The 16388-nt window shown below is 37.6% G+C and overlaps 1 protein-coding gene and 1 long non-coding RNA gene across 12 annotated transcripts in view; one reads left to right on the top strand and one right to left on the bottom strand.

The window, feature by feature from the left end:
* HECTD2-AS1 (HECTD2 antisense RNA 1) overlaps positions 1 to 16388 on the top strand; it is a 304499-nt gene that overhangs the window by 91807 nt on the left and 196304 nt on the right. The window lies entirely within an intron of this gene.
* HECTD2 (HECT domain E3 ubiquitin protein ligase 2) overlaps positions 4834 to 16388 on the bottom strand; it is a 105586-nt gene continuing 94031 nt past the window's right edge. For all 11 annotated transcript variants that reach the window (NR_145526.2, NR_104291.3, XM_047424658.1 and 8 more), the window contains one exon: positions 4834 to 7390. Coding sequence is in view for 9 of the 11 variants with exons in the window: in XM_047424658.1 (XP_047280614.1) it covers positions 7270 to 7390 (121 nt within the window). In the remaining 2 variants the exon portion in view is untranslated. The remainder of the gene's footprint in view (positions 7391 to 16388) is intronic.

Below are 16388 nucleotides of genomic sequence, written 5' to 3'. Positions count from 1 at the left end.
AGTAGAACTTATGCTATGCTTTGCAGTTAGAAGGTGGCCAAATAAGCACCAGATACATCTTTGATTTGTAATAAGGAGGCACAGAATAAAAACAGAATTTTAGAAAGATTAACTGTAGGGGCCTTAGGAAAACTGGGAAAAGAGTAAGTCTACAGACAAGGAAGTAAGTTAGTTGTGAAGGGTTGAGTGTCTCTCTAAATCACGGAAGAGGCTGTAGAAATTGAGCAGAAGGACAATGTAAAGATAAAGCTTGCTGACATGGACGTTAAAGAGAAAGTAAAGTCAAAATGAGATTAACGTTTACAAGCCAAGGAAATCAGAAGAATAAGATTGCCAGTGACAGAAATAGACAAGGCAGCCATATTGAAAGTCTTATAGGTGGAGGTGGCCTATATGGTTGGAAACACAGCACAAGATTGTGCTTGAGAAACTCCTGAAATAATTCTGTATTTTTTCATTGTAATTTGTGTGTGTGCAAGTACACATAGGAAAACTAGTCTGGTTACAGAAAAACCTACCAGTGGCCGGGCATGGTGGCTCATGCCTGTAATCCCAGCACTTTGGGAGGCCGAGGCAGGCAGATCACAAGGTCAGGAGATTGAGACCATCCTGGCTAACACGGTGAAACCCTGTCTCTAATAAAAATACAAAAAAATTAGCCGGGCATGGTGGCAGGCGCCTGTAGTCCCAGTTACTCGGGAGGCTGAGGCAAGAGAATGGCGTGAACCCGAGAGGCGGAGCTTGCAGTGAGCCAAGATCACACCACTACATTCCAGCCTGGGCAACACAGTGAGACTCCATCTCAAAAAAAAAAACAAAAAAACAAAAAACCCACAAAAACCTACCAGCTTAACTCAGTGGCGACTAATGCTTCTATTGTATGTATGCCCATGTGTTCAGTCATAATCTCTAAAGGGCATGAAAACATTGAGCTGCATAATTGTCACGAAAACCCTTAAGAAATTTTCTTGCTATGATACACATTTAAGGTTTCATAAGATACTCAGAATTAATTTGCTGCTTATGTTTATAAAGAATAAGTGAGTATGAAGCTGAGGATTAGCCTCCTGCTGAAATATAATGGGCACTCAATAAACAAGTGTTGAACAAATTCACAAACATTAGTGCAATGGGTATGCTTCTATAGACCAAGCTGAAATGGAAGAGGCCATCTAGTACTATAAACTTTTATAAATTTTGGACAACATATATCTATAAAAAATATATATCCAAGCTTGAAAGGAAGGGAAATAATTAGATATAGGAAATAAGGAAGAAATGAAAAGCCGGAAGTAGGAAGCAGGTGCTGATATTAGGGTGACTCATGAGGATGAGCTCTCTAATGGATGTTAATGTCCACATGAGCTCAACAGACATGCTGTAGGCCTCTTTAAGGTGAGGAGCCAAAACGAATTCTCTTGCATAAATCCTAGACCTTAAAAGGGTTGCTCTGTCTATGAAAAGAAGATAGAAGAACCCTACTCATAAATCCCAACTGTGCCACTGTAAGTATGGGGTCCAAATTTACACAAGTGGAGAAGGAACTCTAATCGAAGAAGTTAACATAAAAATCTGTGGGAAACCTGTAAGTTCTTGGTTGAGAACAACATAAAACTGCTTTGCTAGGCTACTTACAGTATTCAGGACACACAGGATGTCCAGTGGAAAAGATCATCCTTTAAGTAGAAATGCAAAATCAAAAATTACAGATCACATAAGGAAATAAACCACTGTGAGACAACGGATGAACAAATAGAAAAATGAGTGCTTTAAGGACTAAAGAGAACAATTTAAAAGAGAACATTAAACAAGTATGCCAAAATTATTAAAGAAAACCATATGAAGAAATGGTATGGAAAAAGAGCATGTGAATTTGAAAAGAAGCCAAAGAAGTTTCTAGAAATCAAAAAATGCAGCCACTGATTAAAACTGAGTTTTTAATCTCAGTGGGTTGGTTAAACAACACATTAGGTACAGAGAAAGAGATGGAATGGTTGAATGAGATGGTCCAACATATGTTCAACAGGAAAAATTAGAACAGGAAAAAGCAATAGCCAAAGAGGAAACAGCTTAAGAATTTTTCCATAATTGATGAAAGATACAAATCTATAGATTCAAGAACCATAATGAATCTCAAGTGGGAGAAAAAATACACATACACATGTTGGCTTTGATGTTCTACCATTTTTTGAAAAAAAAAAAAATCTTAAAAGTAGCCAGAGAAAAAAGAGAGATTACCAAGGCATACAATTATACTAATAGCTAACTTTATGTCAACAACGAAATCAAAGGTAATGGATTAATATATTAAAAACTATAAAATAATTATCAACCTACAAATGTATGCTTAATAAATCTTTCATGAATAAAGGTGACAGTTATTTAAAATAATTTGCTACCAACCAACCCTCATTAAAATAATTTCTAATAGATGTTCTTTATGAGGAGGAAATTTGATTCCAGAGGTAGGTGGAGGACCATAGAAGAGGGAATGGTGTTTGAAGAAGTTGTAAATGTGTGGTTAAATCTAAACATTATCTACATAAAATGATAATAATGGCACCTTATTTTATGGATTATATTAACATTAAAAATTCATAGTATAAAAGATGAGGTAAATAAAGTTAAAAATTAGGCCACATATTAGAAAATATTTGTAATGCAAGCACAATAAGAATTAGAATACAGGTAATAACAATAGTAATAATACCAAACATTTAGAGACCACTTATGGGTCAGGCACAAATGTAAGCCCTTCATATGTATGTTCTGTAAGTTTAAGTATGTAAGTCTATACATATGCATATATCTGATACACTTATAAACTTATATATAATATACACATATACATACATATGTACATACATACAAATATACCTGTATGGAAACTTATTTAACAACCCTGTGAGCTAAGTATTATTTTCTTTAGTTTCTAGATGAGTAAACTGAGACAAAGAAACATTAAGTAATTTGAAGTAATTTGTTCCAAGTCACTTAGTCATTGGCAGATCTGGAATTCAACTGAAGCAATGTAGCTCCTGTTAACAAAGGATCAATATCCAGAATAAGGAAAAAACTCCTAAACACCAATAGGGAAAAAAAATAGGAAAACACAGGCTAAGAATATTGAACTGGCCATTCACAGAAGAAATCTGAAGAGCCTGTAAATATACACAAAGGTGTTCAATGCCATTAACAATTATGGAAATAGAAATTAAATCACACTAGTTAAATAAGCCAAGAAAGGTCTGCTAAAGCCAAGTGTTGGGGAGAATGTGGACAAACGACAACTCTTTATAATGCTGATGGAAATTAATGCCGGAACCACCACTCTGGAGAGCAAGTGGACAATATCTGGTAAAGCCGGAGATGTACAGCCTGTGATCCAGCAATTCTACATCTGGGCTATAGTCTAGAGAGCCTGGTTCACACTGGAAAACAACTCAATGTTAGTGTGTGGGAGGATGGATCCAGAAAGTGGTACATGCATTTCATGATTCTATTCTGCAGTTAAAAATGCATTATATCTAAATGTAAATAAATCTATAAAAGACAATATTAAGTGAAAAAAGTTTTGGAAAGATATATAGAGCATGAGATGTATGCAACTGTAACAATATTACATAGTGTTTACACATAGGTACATATATGTAAAGACAGCATGGGAAAGATTCACACGAACTACAGGTTAACAGAGAACAGAGAGGGAGTAGAGGGGGATTGGAGATGGGCACAAAAGGGGCTTCAATCCCATTTGCAAAATTATTTTTAAAAAACTGGTAATATTAACACATATTATCATTTTTTAGGTCTGAGTGTGGGATCATGGTATTTCATTATGTTAATCCTGAAATTTTTCTGTTTACTTGAACTATTTCATTAAAAATAGAATTGTATCTTGTTACACAGCTATAAAATAGTATTTAAAACCCTTGCATCATGAGACAGCTATAAGGATAAATCCTACAGTACTGTTTCTAGAATAAGAAAGATTCTCCCAACACAATTTTAAGGCTTCAAAAGCACTTTGCGTTCTATAATCTGTGGTTGAACCCAGCATTTAAGTCAAAAGCCTCCAGAAGGCGTCAGAAGCAGTGGTTGTAGGATGTTTCTACATCAGTACCATAATTTGTCTTGCATCACTTTTTATTGCTTATCATGTGCCAGGCACTGGATAAGTGCTTTACACATTAGTTCATTTAATCTTCCCTACAACTCTATGGGGTAGGTAGGTTATTTCCATTTTACAAATTATTTCCATTGTACATTTGAGGAATGAGGAAGTTAACTTGCCCAGCTAGTAAATGGTGAACCCAGGCAGTCTGGCTCCAAAACCTAGGCACTAGACTAAACGATTTGCGGCCATCTGGGTGAACTGATCTTGTGTCCCCTCCTGCGAAAACCCATCCTGGTCTTTTTTCCATCCAGCTACCTATTTTCTTTCATTAATCACCCATAACATTCTCTCTTACATTCTTATAATCTCCACTCTTCCTTCCTTAAGCATGAGGTATGTGGACAAGGGGAAAAGGGCCAAATGAATGGTTTTGGAGAGGAATACTTACTTAAGAGCTGAAGTTATCTATCTACGGCCAATGAAATGTTACACTTGGTTCACTTCTGGGTGTACTCCAAATGGTATTATACATTCATTTGGTGGAATAGCTGTGTGATCTTTCAAATATTGGATATACATTTCATGCTGAAAATATGCTACAGAGGTTGGTAATACTTAATGTCAACAACATACATCTTTTGAAGTTATGTGTCAGCAATTTTCCTAAGCACTAGATTGAGAGAGTATAATGCAAAGAATAGCTTGCATTTATAAAATATTTTAAACATATGGCTTTAATTAATTGCCCAAGTGTTCAAAAAATAAACTGAAGCCTGACTGACTGTATAATTTTAATATTTGAAAAATTGCATCCAGAAATTAATACAATACAGATTTGTACAAAAAAGGAAGGACGTAAAAACTTCTAATCATACAGACAAAAATATGACTGACTAAGCAAAGATTTTAAAAAAGGACAGGATGTTTAAAAAATACTGATAAATACTGTGTAATGCTTTAATTTACTGTGGCAGATACAAAAATCAATAATTCATTAACAGATTATATATGTAAAAAAAGTAACTACATGAATTTTCTAGCTTTTTAAATTAATAAAATGTAACAGTAGTGGTTTTTATTTTTTAAATGAGGTATTATTACACTGTAAACCAAAAACAGAGCACAAATAAATAAAGGCAATGTGCAATTTAGTGATAAATGATTATACATTTCAACTTAACAACAGATAACAAAAATTCTCTAGTTATTTATGGACTTCGTCATCTAAAAATTTGGCTTGCTTGTGTGGACTTCTTATTTAAAAGTGACACAGCTAATCGATATACAAGCACATCATTAAACATGCAGACCAAGCCAACACAATTTTTCCATGAGTCATCTCTACCAAATAAAAACTGTTTACATTTTATTTAAAACACTTAAATCTGGTTTCTTATACATGTTTCTTTTGTGCTTATAAGTGGTAACCTACATTAAAAAGCTGATTTTCTAGTTCAAGCAGTGTAAGAGAGAAGCAGTTTTATTTGCATATGGATTTAAAACAGAGCAAAATGAAACAAAACCAGGATGCCTTTAACTCTCTTAGGCTTTCCAAGATTTTTAAGAAGAAATACCCTTGAAATAATATACCCAAATGGAAGAGCAGAATCACTTCCATCTCCAAGAGAATAGTAAACAAAGTGACCCCTTTTCCTCAAAGATTTGTGGGTTGGCTTCAGAACTGTTGGAGAACAAGCTGATTAGTTCCTCCACCCTGGAAGAATTCTGCTGGTTGGGTGCAGGAAGCATAGCAAGAAAATAGCCTAGCCCAGAAAGATTTTGGGGAAAGTATTATTTGCATATGAACCATATGCTGGTACTAAATGCTGGTTTCATTATTATTGCAAATATAACTTCAGAGTTTTCTGAAGGAAAGCTGTTAAAGTATGGTAGAGAAGTCTTGGTTTGGCAATATTTGTAACATGCTAATAAAACTGCTTCATTTGCTGTAAATTAAAAAAAACATTTACTGTCTGACTTAAAATGCAGTTTCTTTTTACATACTACTTTATTAGAAACTCTAAAAAAAGGGTACTTTGAATTTATTATATTCAGAATCCAGTGAAAAACAAACATTTTGGCCAAAACGTTGAATTTTATTTTTATACTAAGCTATATCATTTTGACACAAGTGTTATTATTGTATTCACTTTTGTCAAATACTTTAACCTATCTTTTTCAAAAATTAGTGTTTTGGTACAACTGGTGATCAAAAAATGTAGATATAAGTCTTGTACATGATTCAAAAGATTTATAAAAGCAGTTATATTCTTTTGTGCTTGTAACTGACATACTTCATCAATGATTATTTAGGTCTGATTTCTTTTCTAATATCTTGAGCCTTAAGAAGAAATGATCATTATACAAATATTACAGAGTACACAAGTAACTAGTTTACTGCCAATGTGCATGCAGACTAACAACACTTAAAAGAATATAACCTTGAATCCAATTAGTCTGAAAATACTCTTGTACAATCATCTTTATTGATTTGTAAAAGCTGTGTACACATCTAAAACCCTGAATTTACTTTGTAAAAATAAATCTTTAACAATAAATGGCACTATCAAAATCCCATTATTCTCAGGCTATTATGTAGTTATTTACATGCTTTTCAGCAACTGCTGAGAAGAATCTTATAGGTCCCAAGCCAGTATATCAAAAATCCCTGTAAACTGCATTTGCAATGATACTGTGTTGTATACCACTATATGAAAATATGGCTACATGCCTTATGTTAAAGATAATGTAGCTGTTTGCTTTGCTACTGTGTGCTAGCAGTGCTAGCAGTGTACAATCTGCCACTGGGTTCAACTATACCATAAATTCATTCTTCACTGTACTTTGCTTTCCCAGTGGAATGCCTGTGACAAACTACTTGTGGAGAATGATAAAGTGCTATATAAAAGAGGAACTGGACCATACCTGTCTCTGCCATGTGGACTTTTCCTCACTCAAGCGATTTCTGTGTGTGTTTTTAGAAAATTATGCCTTTGCTGAACATACTTCATATTTGATTTTTTAAAAACTTAATATTTTAAAGTTGGTGAGCTTTGTCAAAGTGTTTTGAGACAGAAACATGAAAAGGCTAAAGGCACAGTAAGAGGGAAGTGAATGCTACATATAAAAGATTATATTTCAAGTCTTCTAGGTTACTCAAGTCCAAAACCTTCTGAATTTGAAATTCCAATGATCAATTTCTGTTTCAGATCCTTTTTGCTCTTGTAGGGGGGAAGGCAAAGTTGATTGAAGCAGGTATGGGCCACAGGTAAGCTAGGGAAAAAAATTAAAAAAAAATACTAAGTCTTGAAACACACACAAAATGACTGCTATGCAACTTTAAAAAATACCAGGACACACACATTCAAATCTATTTCACTCTGTTAAGAGATGACTCATCCATTTCTTCACTGAACAGATATTTACTGAGTACCTCACTTTGTATCAGACACCACTCTAGACACTAAGGCTGTGGTTACAGACAAGACAACCAATGTTACCACTTTCATGAAACTCATTTAAGAAGCATTTTGTTGGAGTCAGACAGATATGAATTTGAATTCTGCTTTCCCCACTTACTAGCTGTGGGGTCTTGTTCGAGTTGCATAATATCCCCAAATCCCAGTTTCCTCATCAACAATATAGGGTAAACCATCCAATTAGGCTGTTTAATAACCTAATCAGGTTGTTTAATAACCAGGAGTTCCCAACCCCAGGGCCAGAGATGGGTATGGTTGTTGGTGGCCTGTTAGGAACTGGGCTGCACAACAGGAGGTGAGTGGCAGGCGAGCATTACTGCCTGAGCTCTGCCTCCTGTCACATAAGCGGCAGTATTAGATTCTCATAGGAACAAGGACCCTATTGTGAACTGCACGTGCAAGGAATCTAGGTTGCATGCCCCTTATGAGAATCTAATGCCTGATGACCCGAGGTGGAACAGTTTCATCCAAAACTACCACCACCTCCCACTCTCCCCACTCCTCCCTGGTTCTGTGGAAAAACTGTCTTCCACAAAACCGATCCCTGGTGCCAAAAAGGTTGAGGACTGATGGTTAAAAAGATTAAAAGAGTGATATACACAAAACATCTAGCAGCCGAGGAGTAGATAATATAATGAATGATACTATTATTCCGGTTTTTAGTATTAAAAAGTAATTTAAAAAAGAGCATTTTGGGGACAGTAGATGCCCCTTGATGCACATGTAAAAATTATCTTCTGAATCCTTTTGGTGTCATCTCCCCCACCTACTATCTGATAGTGTTGTTATCATCATTTAGGATTCTTACAGCTATCTTAAGACTCTTTCCTTCAGTCTTTATGAACTTCACAGCATCAGAACAGCTGTCAGAGAAATCAATGAATAAAAATGTGAATACACTACAGAAAAGGAAAACATTTTTAAAGAAGTTTGTAAGATTTAAAACTAAATTTTGAGAGCCCCCTGAATTAAAAGACTTAAAACTACTAGAATCAGCATTTACTCAGTGTTTGGTCTATGATAATCACTGTGCTGAGTGCATTTACATGCATTGTTTCCTTTAATTTCAGCCTCAAAGCAACTTAAAAGTGGTTGTTCTCATTTTACTGGTGAGGAAAAATAGACATGTAAATATACAAGTAACCTGTTCAGGGATAGAGAGCTGGTAAAGATGTAGGCCCAATATTCAGACCCAGATCAGTCTGACTTAAAAAACCAGTGTTGTTCATATGTAAGATTTAACATTCTTAATTTTTTACGCACCAGACATACATTTGTATGAATTAAAAATATCATCAAATAACAAAGCAAAGAAAAAAATGAAAATGCCAACTCAGTTTTTTAATATATTTTTTTCTAAAGTGCTCTGCTGTTTACAAGGTCCTAAGCTACACAACTTATTTTTATGCCAGTGTTTCATGCATCCATTCAATAACATTTCCCGAGTTATTTAAAACATTTGTTTTCTCTTCATTCTGTTAAGGCTGAGCTTTCCAAGTTTATTTAATACTCATCTACCTAGATACAAGGTCTCTTAAAACTGAAAGAAAACAATATCAATATTCTACCAGAAGAATATCTTATGAAAATGTTTATTGAAGAAAAAATGTGTCCAGGATTTTCTTAATCCATCAGGGGCTTCAATAACATGTATTTGATGAGGTGCAGGACCAAATTATGTATATCTTTTAAGCCTGACTCTTTGGATGATTTGCAAAGGAAGCTGCTTAAGGACAACCAGAGATGGAAAAGGATGTAATTTGAAATTTGCTTTGCAATCTTGGCCATTCTACATTACACTCTGTACTAAAGAATCAGGATAACCACAAAATATTGCCAAGGATTCATGCCCTTTTAGGGGAAAAAAGCATTCTGAATACAATTAATGACTGAAGATTATTTTCTCCATGGACTTTATTCTAAGAGGCACTGGGAGAAGGCATCTGGTCCTATCTATGAATTTAAAATTGAAATCCTGCACTGGCTTATTGTGCCCATTATATGTCTTCATTTTTTGGCCCTTTTCACTGATACTATTCACTATCTTTTTCTGGACTCCTGTTATCCTCTTCTTCATTAACTGCTAGTGAGTTGAGATATAATACAACATGTTTTTCCTCTACCTTTTATTTTAGGTTCAGGGGTACATGTGCAGGTTTGTTATATAAGGTAAACTGCATGTCATGGGGGTTTGGTGTACAGATTATCTCATCACCCAGGTAATAAGTAAGTACCTGATAGGCAGTTTCTTTTATCTTTACCCTCCTCCCACCCTACCCGCTCAAGTAGGTCCCAGTGTTTGTCATTCCCTTCCTTGTGTTCACATGTACTCAGTATTTAGCTCCCACTTACAAGTAAGAATATGTGGTATTTGGTTTTCTGTTCCTGTGTTAGTTTGCTTAGGATGGAGCCTCTAGCTTCATCCATGTTGCTGCAAAGGACATGATCTTTTTTTTAATGGCTGCATAGTATTCCATGGTATATATGTACCACATTTTCTTTATCCAGTCTTTGCTATTGTGAATAGTGCTGCAGTGAACAATGAACATATGCATGCATGTGTCTTTATGACAGAATAATTTATATTCCTTTGGGTACATACCCAATAATGGCATTGCTGGGTTGAATGATAGTTCTAAGTTCTTTAAGAAACCTCCATACTGCTTTCCACAATGGCTAAAATAATTTACATTCCCACCAGCAGTGTATAAGCATTCTCTTTTCTCTGCAACCTTGTCAGCATCTGCTATTTTTTGATTTTTTTTTTAAATTTATTTTTTTTAATTATACTTTAAGTTTTAGGGTACATGTGCACATTGTGCAGGTTAGTTACATACGTATACATGTGCCATGCTGGTGTGCTGCACCCACTAACCCGTCATCTAGCATTAGGTATATCTCCCAGTGCTATCCCTCCCCCCTCCCCCCACCCCACAACAGTCCCCAGAGTGTGATGTTCCCCTTCCTGTGTCCATGTGATCTCACTGTTCAATTCCCACCTATGAGTGAGAATATGCGGTGTTTGGTTTTTTGTTATTGCGATAGTTTACTGAGAATGATGATTTCCAATTTCATCCATATCCCTACAAAGGACATGAACTCATCATTTTTTATGGCTGCATAGTATTCCATGGTGTATATGTGCCACATTTTCTTAATCCAGTCTATCATTGTTGGACATTTGGGTTGGTTCCAAGTCTTTGCTATTGTGAATAATACCGCAATAAACATATGTGTGCCTGTGTCTTTATAGCAGCATGATTTATAGTCCTTTGGGTATATACCCAGTAATGGGATGGCTGGGTCAAATGGTATTTCTAGTTCTAGATCCCTGAGGAATCGCCACACTGACCTCCACAATGGTTGAACTAGTTTACAGTCCCACCAACAGTGTAAAAGTGTTCCTATTTCTCCACATCCTCTCCAGCACCTGTTGTTTCCTGACTTTTTAATGATCGCCATTCTAACTGGTGTGAGATGGTATCTCATTGTGGTTTTGATTTGCATTTCTCTGATGGCCAGTGATGGTGAGCATTTTTTCATGTGTTTTTTGGCTGCACAAATGTCTTCTTTTGAGAAGTGTCTGTTCATGTCCTTCGCCCACTTTTTGATGGGGTTGTTTGTTTTTTTCTTGTAAATTTGTTTTGAGTTCATTGTAGATTCTGGATATTAGCCCTTTGTCAGATGAGTAGGTTGTGAAAATTTTCTCCCATTTTGTAGGTTGCCTGTTCACTCTGATGGTAGTTTCTTTTGCTGTGCAGAAGCTCTTTAGTTTAATTAGATCCCATTTGTCAATTTTGTCTTTTGTTGCCATTGCTTTTGGTGTTTTAGACATGAAGTCCTTGCCCATGCCTATGTCCTGAATGGTAATGCCTAGGTTTTCTTCTAGGGTTTTTATGGTTTTAGGTCTAACGTTTAAGTCTTTAATCCATCTTGAATTGATTTTTGTATAAGGTGTAAGGAAGGGATCCAGTTTCAGCTTTCTACATATGGCTAGCCAGTTTTCCCAGCACCATTTATTAAATAGGGAATCCTTTCCCCATTGCTTGTTTTTCTCAGGTTTGTCAAAGATCAGATAGTTGTACATATGCGGCATTATTTCTGAGGGCTCTGTTCTGTTCCACTGATCTATATCTCTGTTTTGGTACCAGTACCATGCTGTTTTGGTTACTGTAGCCTTGTAGTATAGTTTGAAGTCAGGTAGTGTGATGCCTCCAGCTTTGTTCTTTTGGCTTAGGATTGACTTGGCGATGCGGGCTCTTTTTTGGTTCCATATGAACTTTAAAGTAGTTTTTTCCAATTCTGTGAAGAAAGGCATTGGTAGCTTGATGGGGATGGCATTGAATCTGTAAATTACCTTGGGCAGTATGGCCATTTTCACGATATTGATTCTTCCTACCCATGAGCATGGAATGTTCTTCCATTTGTTTGTATCCTCTTTTATTTCCTTGAGCAGCGGTTTGTAGTTCTCCTTGAAGAGGTCCTTCACATCCCTTGTAAGTTGGATTCCTAAGTATTTTATTCTCTTTGAAGCAGTTGTGAATGGGAGTTCACTCATGATTTGGCTGTTTGTCTGTTATTGGTGTATAAGAATGCTTGTGATTTTTGCACACTGATTTTGTATCCTGAGACTTTGCTGAAGTTGCTTATCAGCTTAAGGAGATTTTGGGCTGAGACAATGGGGTTTTCTAGATATACAATCATGTCATCTGCAAACAGGGACAATTTGACTTCCTCTTTTCCTAATTGAATACCCTTTATTTCCTTCTCCTGTCTAATTGCCCTGGCCAGAACTTCCAACACTATGTTGAATAGGAGTGGTGAGAGAGGGCATCCCTGTCTTGTGCCAGTTTTCAAAGGGAATGCTTCCAGTTTTTGCCCATTCAGTATGATATTGGCTGTGGGTTTGTCATAGATAGCTCTTATTATTTTGAAATATGTCCCATCAATACCTAATTTATTGGGAGTTTTTAGCATGAAGCGTTGTTGAATTTTGTCAAAGGCCTTTTCTGCATCTGTTGAGATAATCATGTGGTTTTTGTCTTTGGTTCTGTTTATATGCTGGATTACATTTATTGATTTGCGTATATTGAACCAGCCTTGCATCCCAGGGATGAAGCCCACTTGATCATGGTGGAGAAGCTTTTTGATGTGCTGCTGGATTCGTTTTGCCAGTATTTTATTGAGGATTTTTGCATCAATGTTCATCAAGGATATTGGTCTAAAATTCTCTTTTTTGGTTGTGTCTCTGCCCGGCTTTGGTATCAGAATGATGTTGGCCTCATAAAATGAGTTAGGGAGGATTCCCTCTTTTTCTATTGATTGGAATAGTTTCAGAAGGAATGGTACCAGTTCCTCCTTGTACCTCTGGTAGAACTCGGCTGTGAATCCATCTGGTCCTGGACTCTTTTTGGTTGGTAAGCTATTGATTATTGCCACAATTTCAGATCCTGTTATTGGTCTATTCAGAGATTCAACTTCTTCCTGGTTTAGTCTTGGGAGAGTGTATGTATCAAGGAATTTATCCATTTCTTCTAGATTTTCTAGTTTATTTGCGTAGAGGTGTTTGTAGTATTCTCTGATGGTAGTTTGTATTTCTGTGGGATCAGTGGTGATATCCCCTTTATCATTTTTTATTGCATCTATTTGATTCTTCTCTCTTTTTTTCTTTATTAGTCTTGCTAGCGGTCTATCAATTTTGTTGATCCTTTCAAAAAACCAGCTCCTGGATTCATTAGTTTATTGAAGGGTTTTCTGTGTCTCTATTTCCTTCAGTTCTGCTCTGATTTTAGTTATTTCTTGCCTTCTGCTAGCTTTTGAATGTGTTTGCTCTTGCTTTTCTAGTTCTTTTAATTGTGATGTTAGGGTGTCAATTTTGGATCTTTCCTGCTTTCTCTTGTGGGCATTTAGTGCTATAAATTTCCCTCTACACACTGCTTTGAATGTGTCCCAGAGATTCTGGTATGTTGTATCTTTGTTCTCGTTGGTTTCAAAGAACATCTTTATTTCTGCCTTCATTTCGTTATGTACCCAGTAGTCATTCAGGAGCAGGTTGTTCAGTTTCCATGTAGTTGAGTGGCTTTGAGTGAGATTCTTAATCCTGAGTTCTAGTTTGATTGCACTGTGGTCTGAGAGATAGTTTGTTATAGTGTCTGTTCTTTTACATTTGCTGAGGAGAGCTTTACTTCCAAGTATGTGGTCAATTTTGGAATAGGTGTGGTGTGGTGCTGAAAAAAATGTATATTCTGTTGATTTGGGGTGGAGAGTTCTGTAGATGTCTATTAGGTCTGCTTGGTGTGGAGCTGAGTTCAATTCCTGGGTATCCTTGTTGACTTTCTGTCTCGTTGATCTGTCTAATGTTGACAGTGGGGTGTTAAAGTCTCCCATTATTAATGTGTGGGAGTCTAAGTCTCTTTGTAGGTCACTCAGGACTTGCTTTATGAATCTGGGTGCTCCTGTATTGGGTGCATATATATTTAGGATAGTTAGCTCTTCTTGTTGAATTGATCCCTTTACCACTATGTAATGGCCTTCTTTGTCTCTTTTGATCTTTGTTGGTTTAAAGTCTGTTTTATCAGAGACTAGGATTGCAACCCCTGCCTTTTTTTGTTTTCCATTTGCTTGGTAGATCTTCCTCCATCCCTTTATTTTGAGCCTATGTGTGTCCCTGCATGTGAGATGGGTTTCCTGAATACAGCACACTGATGGGTCTTGACTCTTTATCCAATTTGCCAGTCTGTGTCTTTTAATTGGAGCATTTAGTCCATTTACATTTAAAGTTAATAGTGTTATGTGTGAATTTGATCCTGTCATTATGATGTTAGCTGGTTACTTTGCTCGTTAGTTGATGCAGTTTCTTCCTAGTCTCGATGGTCTTTACATTTTGGCATGATTTTGCAGCGGCTGGTACCGGTTGTTCCTTTCCATGTTTAGTGCTTCCTTCAGGAGCTCTTTTAGGGCAGGCCTGGTGGTGACAAAATCTCTCAGCATTTGCTTGTCTGTAAAGTATTTTATTTCTTCTTCACTTATGAAGCTTAGTTTGGCTGGATATGAAATTCTGGGTTGAAAATTCTTTAAGAATGTTGAATATTGGTCCCCACTCTCTTCTGGCTTGTAGGGTTTCTGCCAAGAGATCCGCTGTTAGTCTGATGGGCTTCTCTTTGAGGGTAAACCGACCTTTCTCTCTGGCTGCCCTTAACATTTTTTCCTTCATTTCAACTTTGGTGAATCTGACAATTATGTGTCTTGGAGTTGCTCTTCTCGAGGAGTATCTTTGTGGTGTTCTCTGTATTTCCTGAATCTGAATGTTGGCCTGCCTTGCTAGATTGGGGAAGTTCTCCTGGATAATATCCTGCAGAGTGTTTTCCAACTTGGTTCCATTCTCCCCGTCACTTTCAGGTACACCAATCAGACGTAGATTTGGTCTTTTCACATAGTCCCATATTTCTTGGAGGCTTTGCTCGTTTCTTTTTATTCTTTTTTCTCTAAACTTTCCTTCTCGCTTCATTTCATTCATTTCATCTTCCATTGCTGATACCCTTTCTTCCAGTTTATCGCATTGGCTCCTGAGGCTTCTGCATTCTTCACGTGGTTCTCGAGCCTTGGTTTTCAGCTCCATCAGCTCCTTTAAGCACTTCTCTGTATTGGTTATTCTAGTTATACATTCTTCTAAATTTTTTTCAAAGTTTTCAACTTCTTTGCCTTTGGTTTGAATGTCCTCCCGTAGCTCAGAGTAATTTGATCATCTGAAGCCTTCTTCTCTCAGCTTGTCAAAGTCATTCTCCGTCCAGCTTTGTTCTGTTGCTGGTGAGGAGCTGCGTTCCTTTGGAGGAGGAGAGGCGCTCTGATTTTTAGAGTTTCCAGTTTTTCTGCTCTGTTTTTTCCCCATCTTTGTGGTTTTATCTACTTTTGGTCTTTGATGATGGTGATGTACAGATGGGTTTTTGGTGTGGATGTCCTTTCTGTTTGTTAGTTTTCCTTCTAACAGACAGGACCCTCAGGTGCAGGTCTGTTGGAGTACCCTGCAGTGTGAGGTGTCAGTGTGCCCCTGCTGGAGGGTGCCTCCCAGTTAGGCTGCTCGGGGGTCAGGTGTCAGGGACCCACTTGAGGCGGCAGTCTGCCTGTTCTCAGATCTCCAGCTGCGTACTAGGAGAACCCCTGCTCTCTTCAAAGCTGTCAGACAGGGACATTTAAGTCTGCAGAGGTTACTGCTGTCTTTTTGTTTGTCTGTGCCCTGCCCCCAGAGGTGGAGCCTACAGAGGCAGGCAGGCCTCCTTGAGCTGTGGTGGGTTCCACCCAGTTCGAGCTTCCTGGCTGCTTCGTTTACCTAAGCAAGCCTGGGCAATGGTGGGCGCCCCTCCCCCAGCCTCGCTGCCGCCTTGCAGTTTGATCTCAGACTGCTGCGCTAGCCATCAGCGAGACTCCGTGGGGTAGGACCCTCCGAGCCAAGTGCGGGATATAATCTCGTGGTGCACCGTTTTTTAAGCCCGTCGGAAAAGCGCAGTATTCGGGTGGGAGTGACCCGATTTTCCAGGTGCTGTCCGTCACCCCTTTCTTTGATTAGGAAAGGGAACTCCCTGACCCCTTGCGCTTCCCGAGTGAGGCAATGCCTCGCCCTGCTTCGGCTCGCGCACGGTGTGCGCACCCACTGACCTGCGCCCACTGTCTGGCACTCCCTAGTGAGATGAACCCGGTACCTCAGATGGAAATGCAGAAATCACCCATCTTCTGCGTCGCTCAGGCTGGGAGCTGTAGACTGGAGCTGTTCCTATTCGGCCATCTTGGCTCCTCCC

Source organism: Homo sapiens, chromosome 10 (genome assembly GCF_000001405.40).
Source record: "Homo sapiens chromosome 10, GRCh38.p14 Primary Assembly".
NCBI lineage: Eukaryota > Metazoa > Chordata > Mammalia > Primates > Hominidae > Homo > Homo sapiens.
This window is presented reverse-complemented; position numbering and strand designations above follow the sequence as displayed.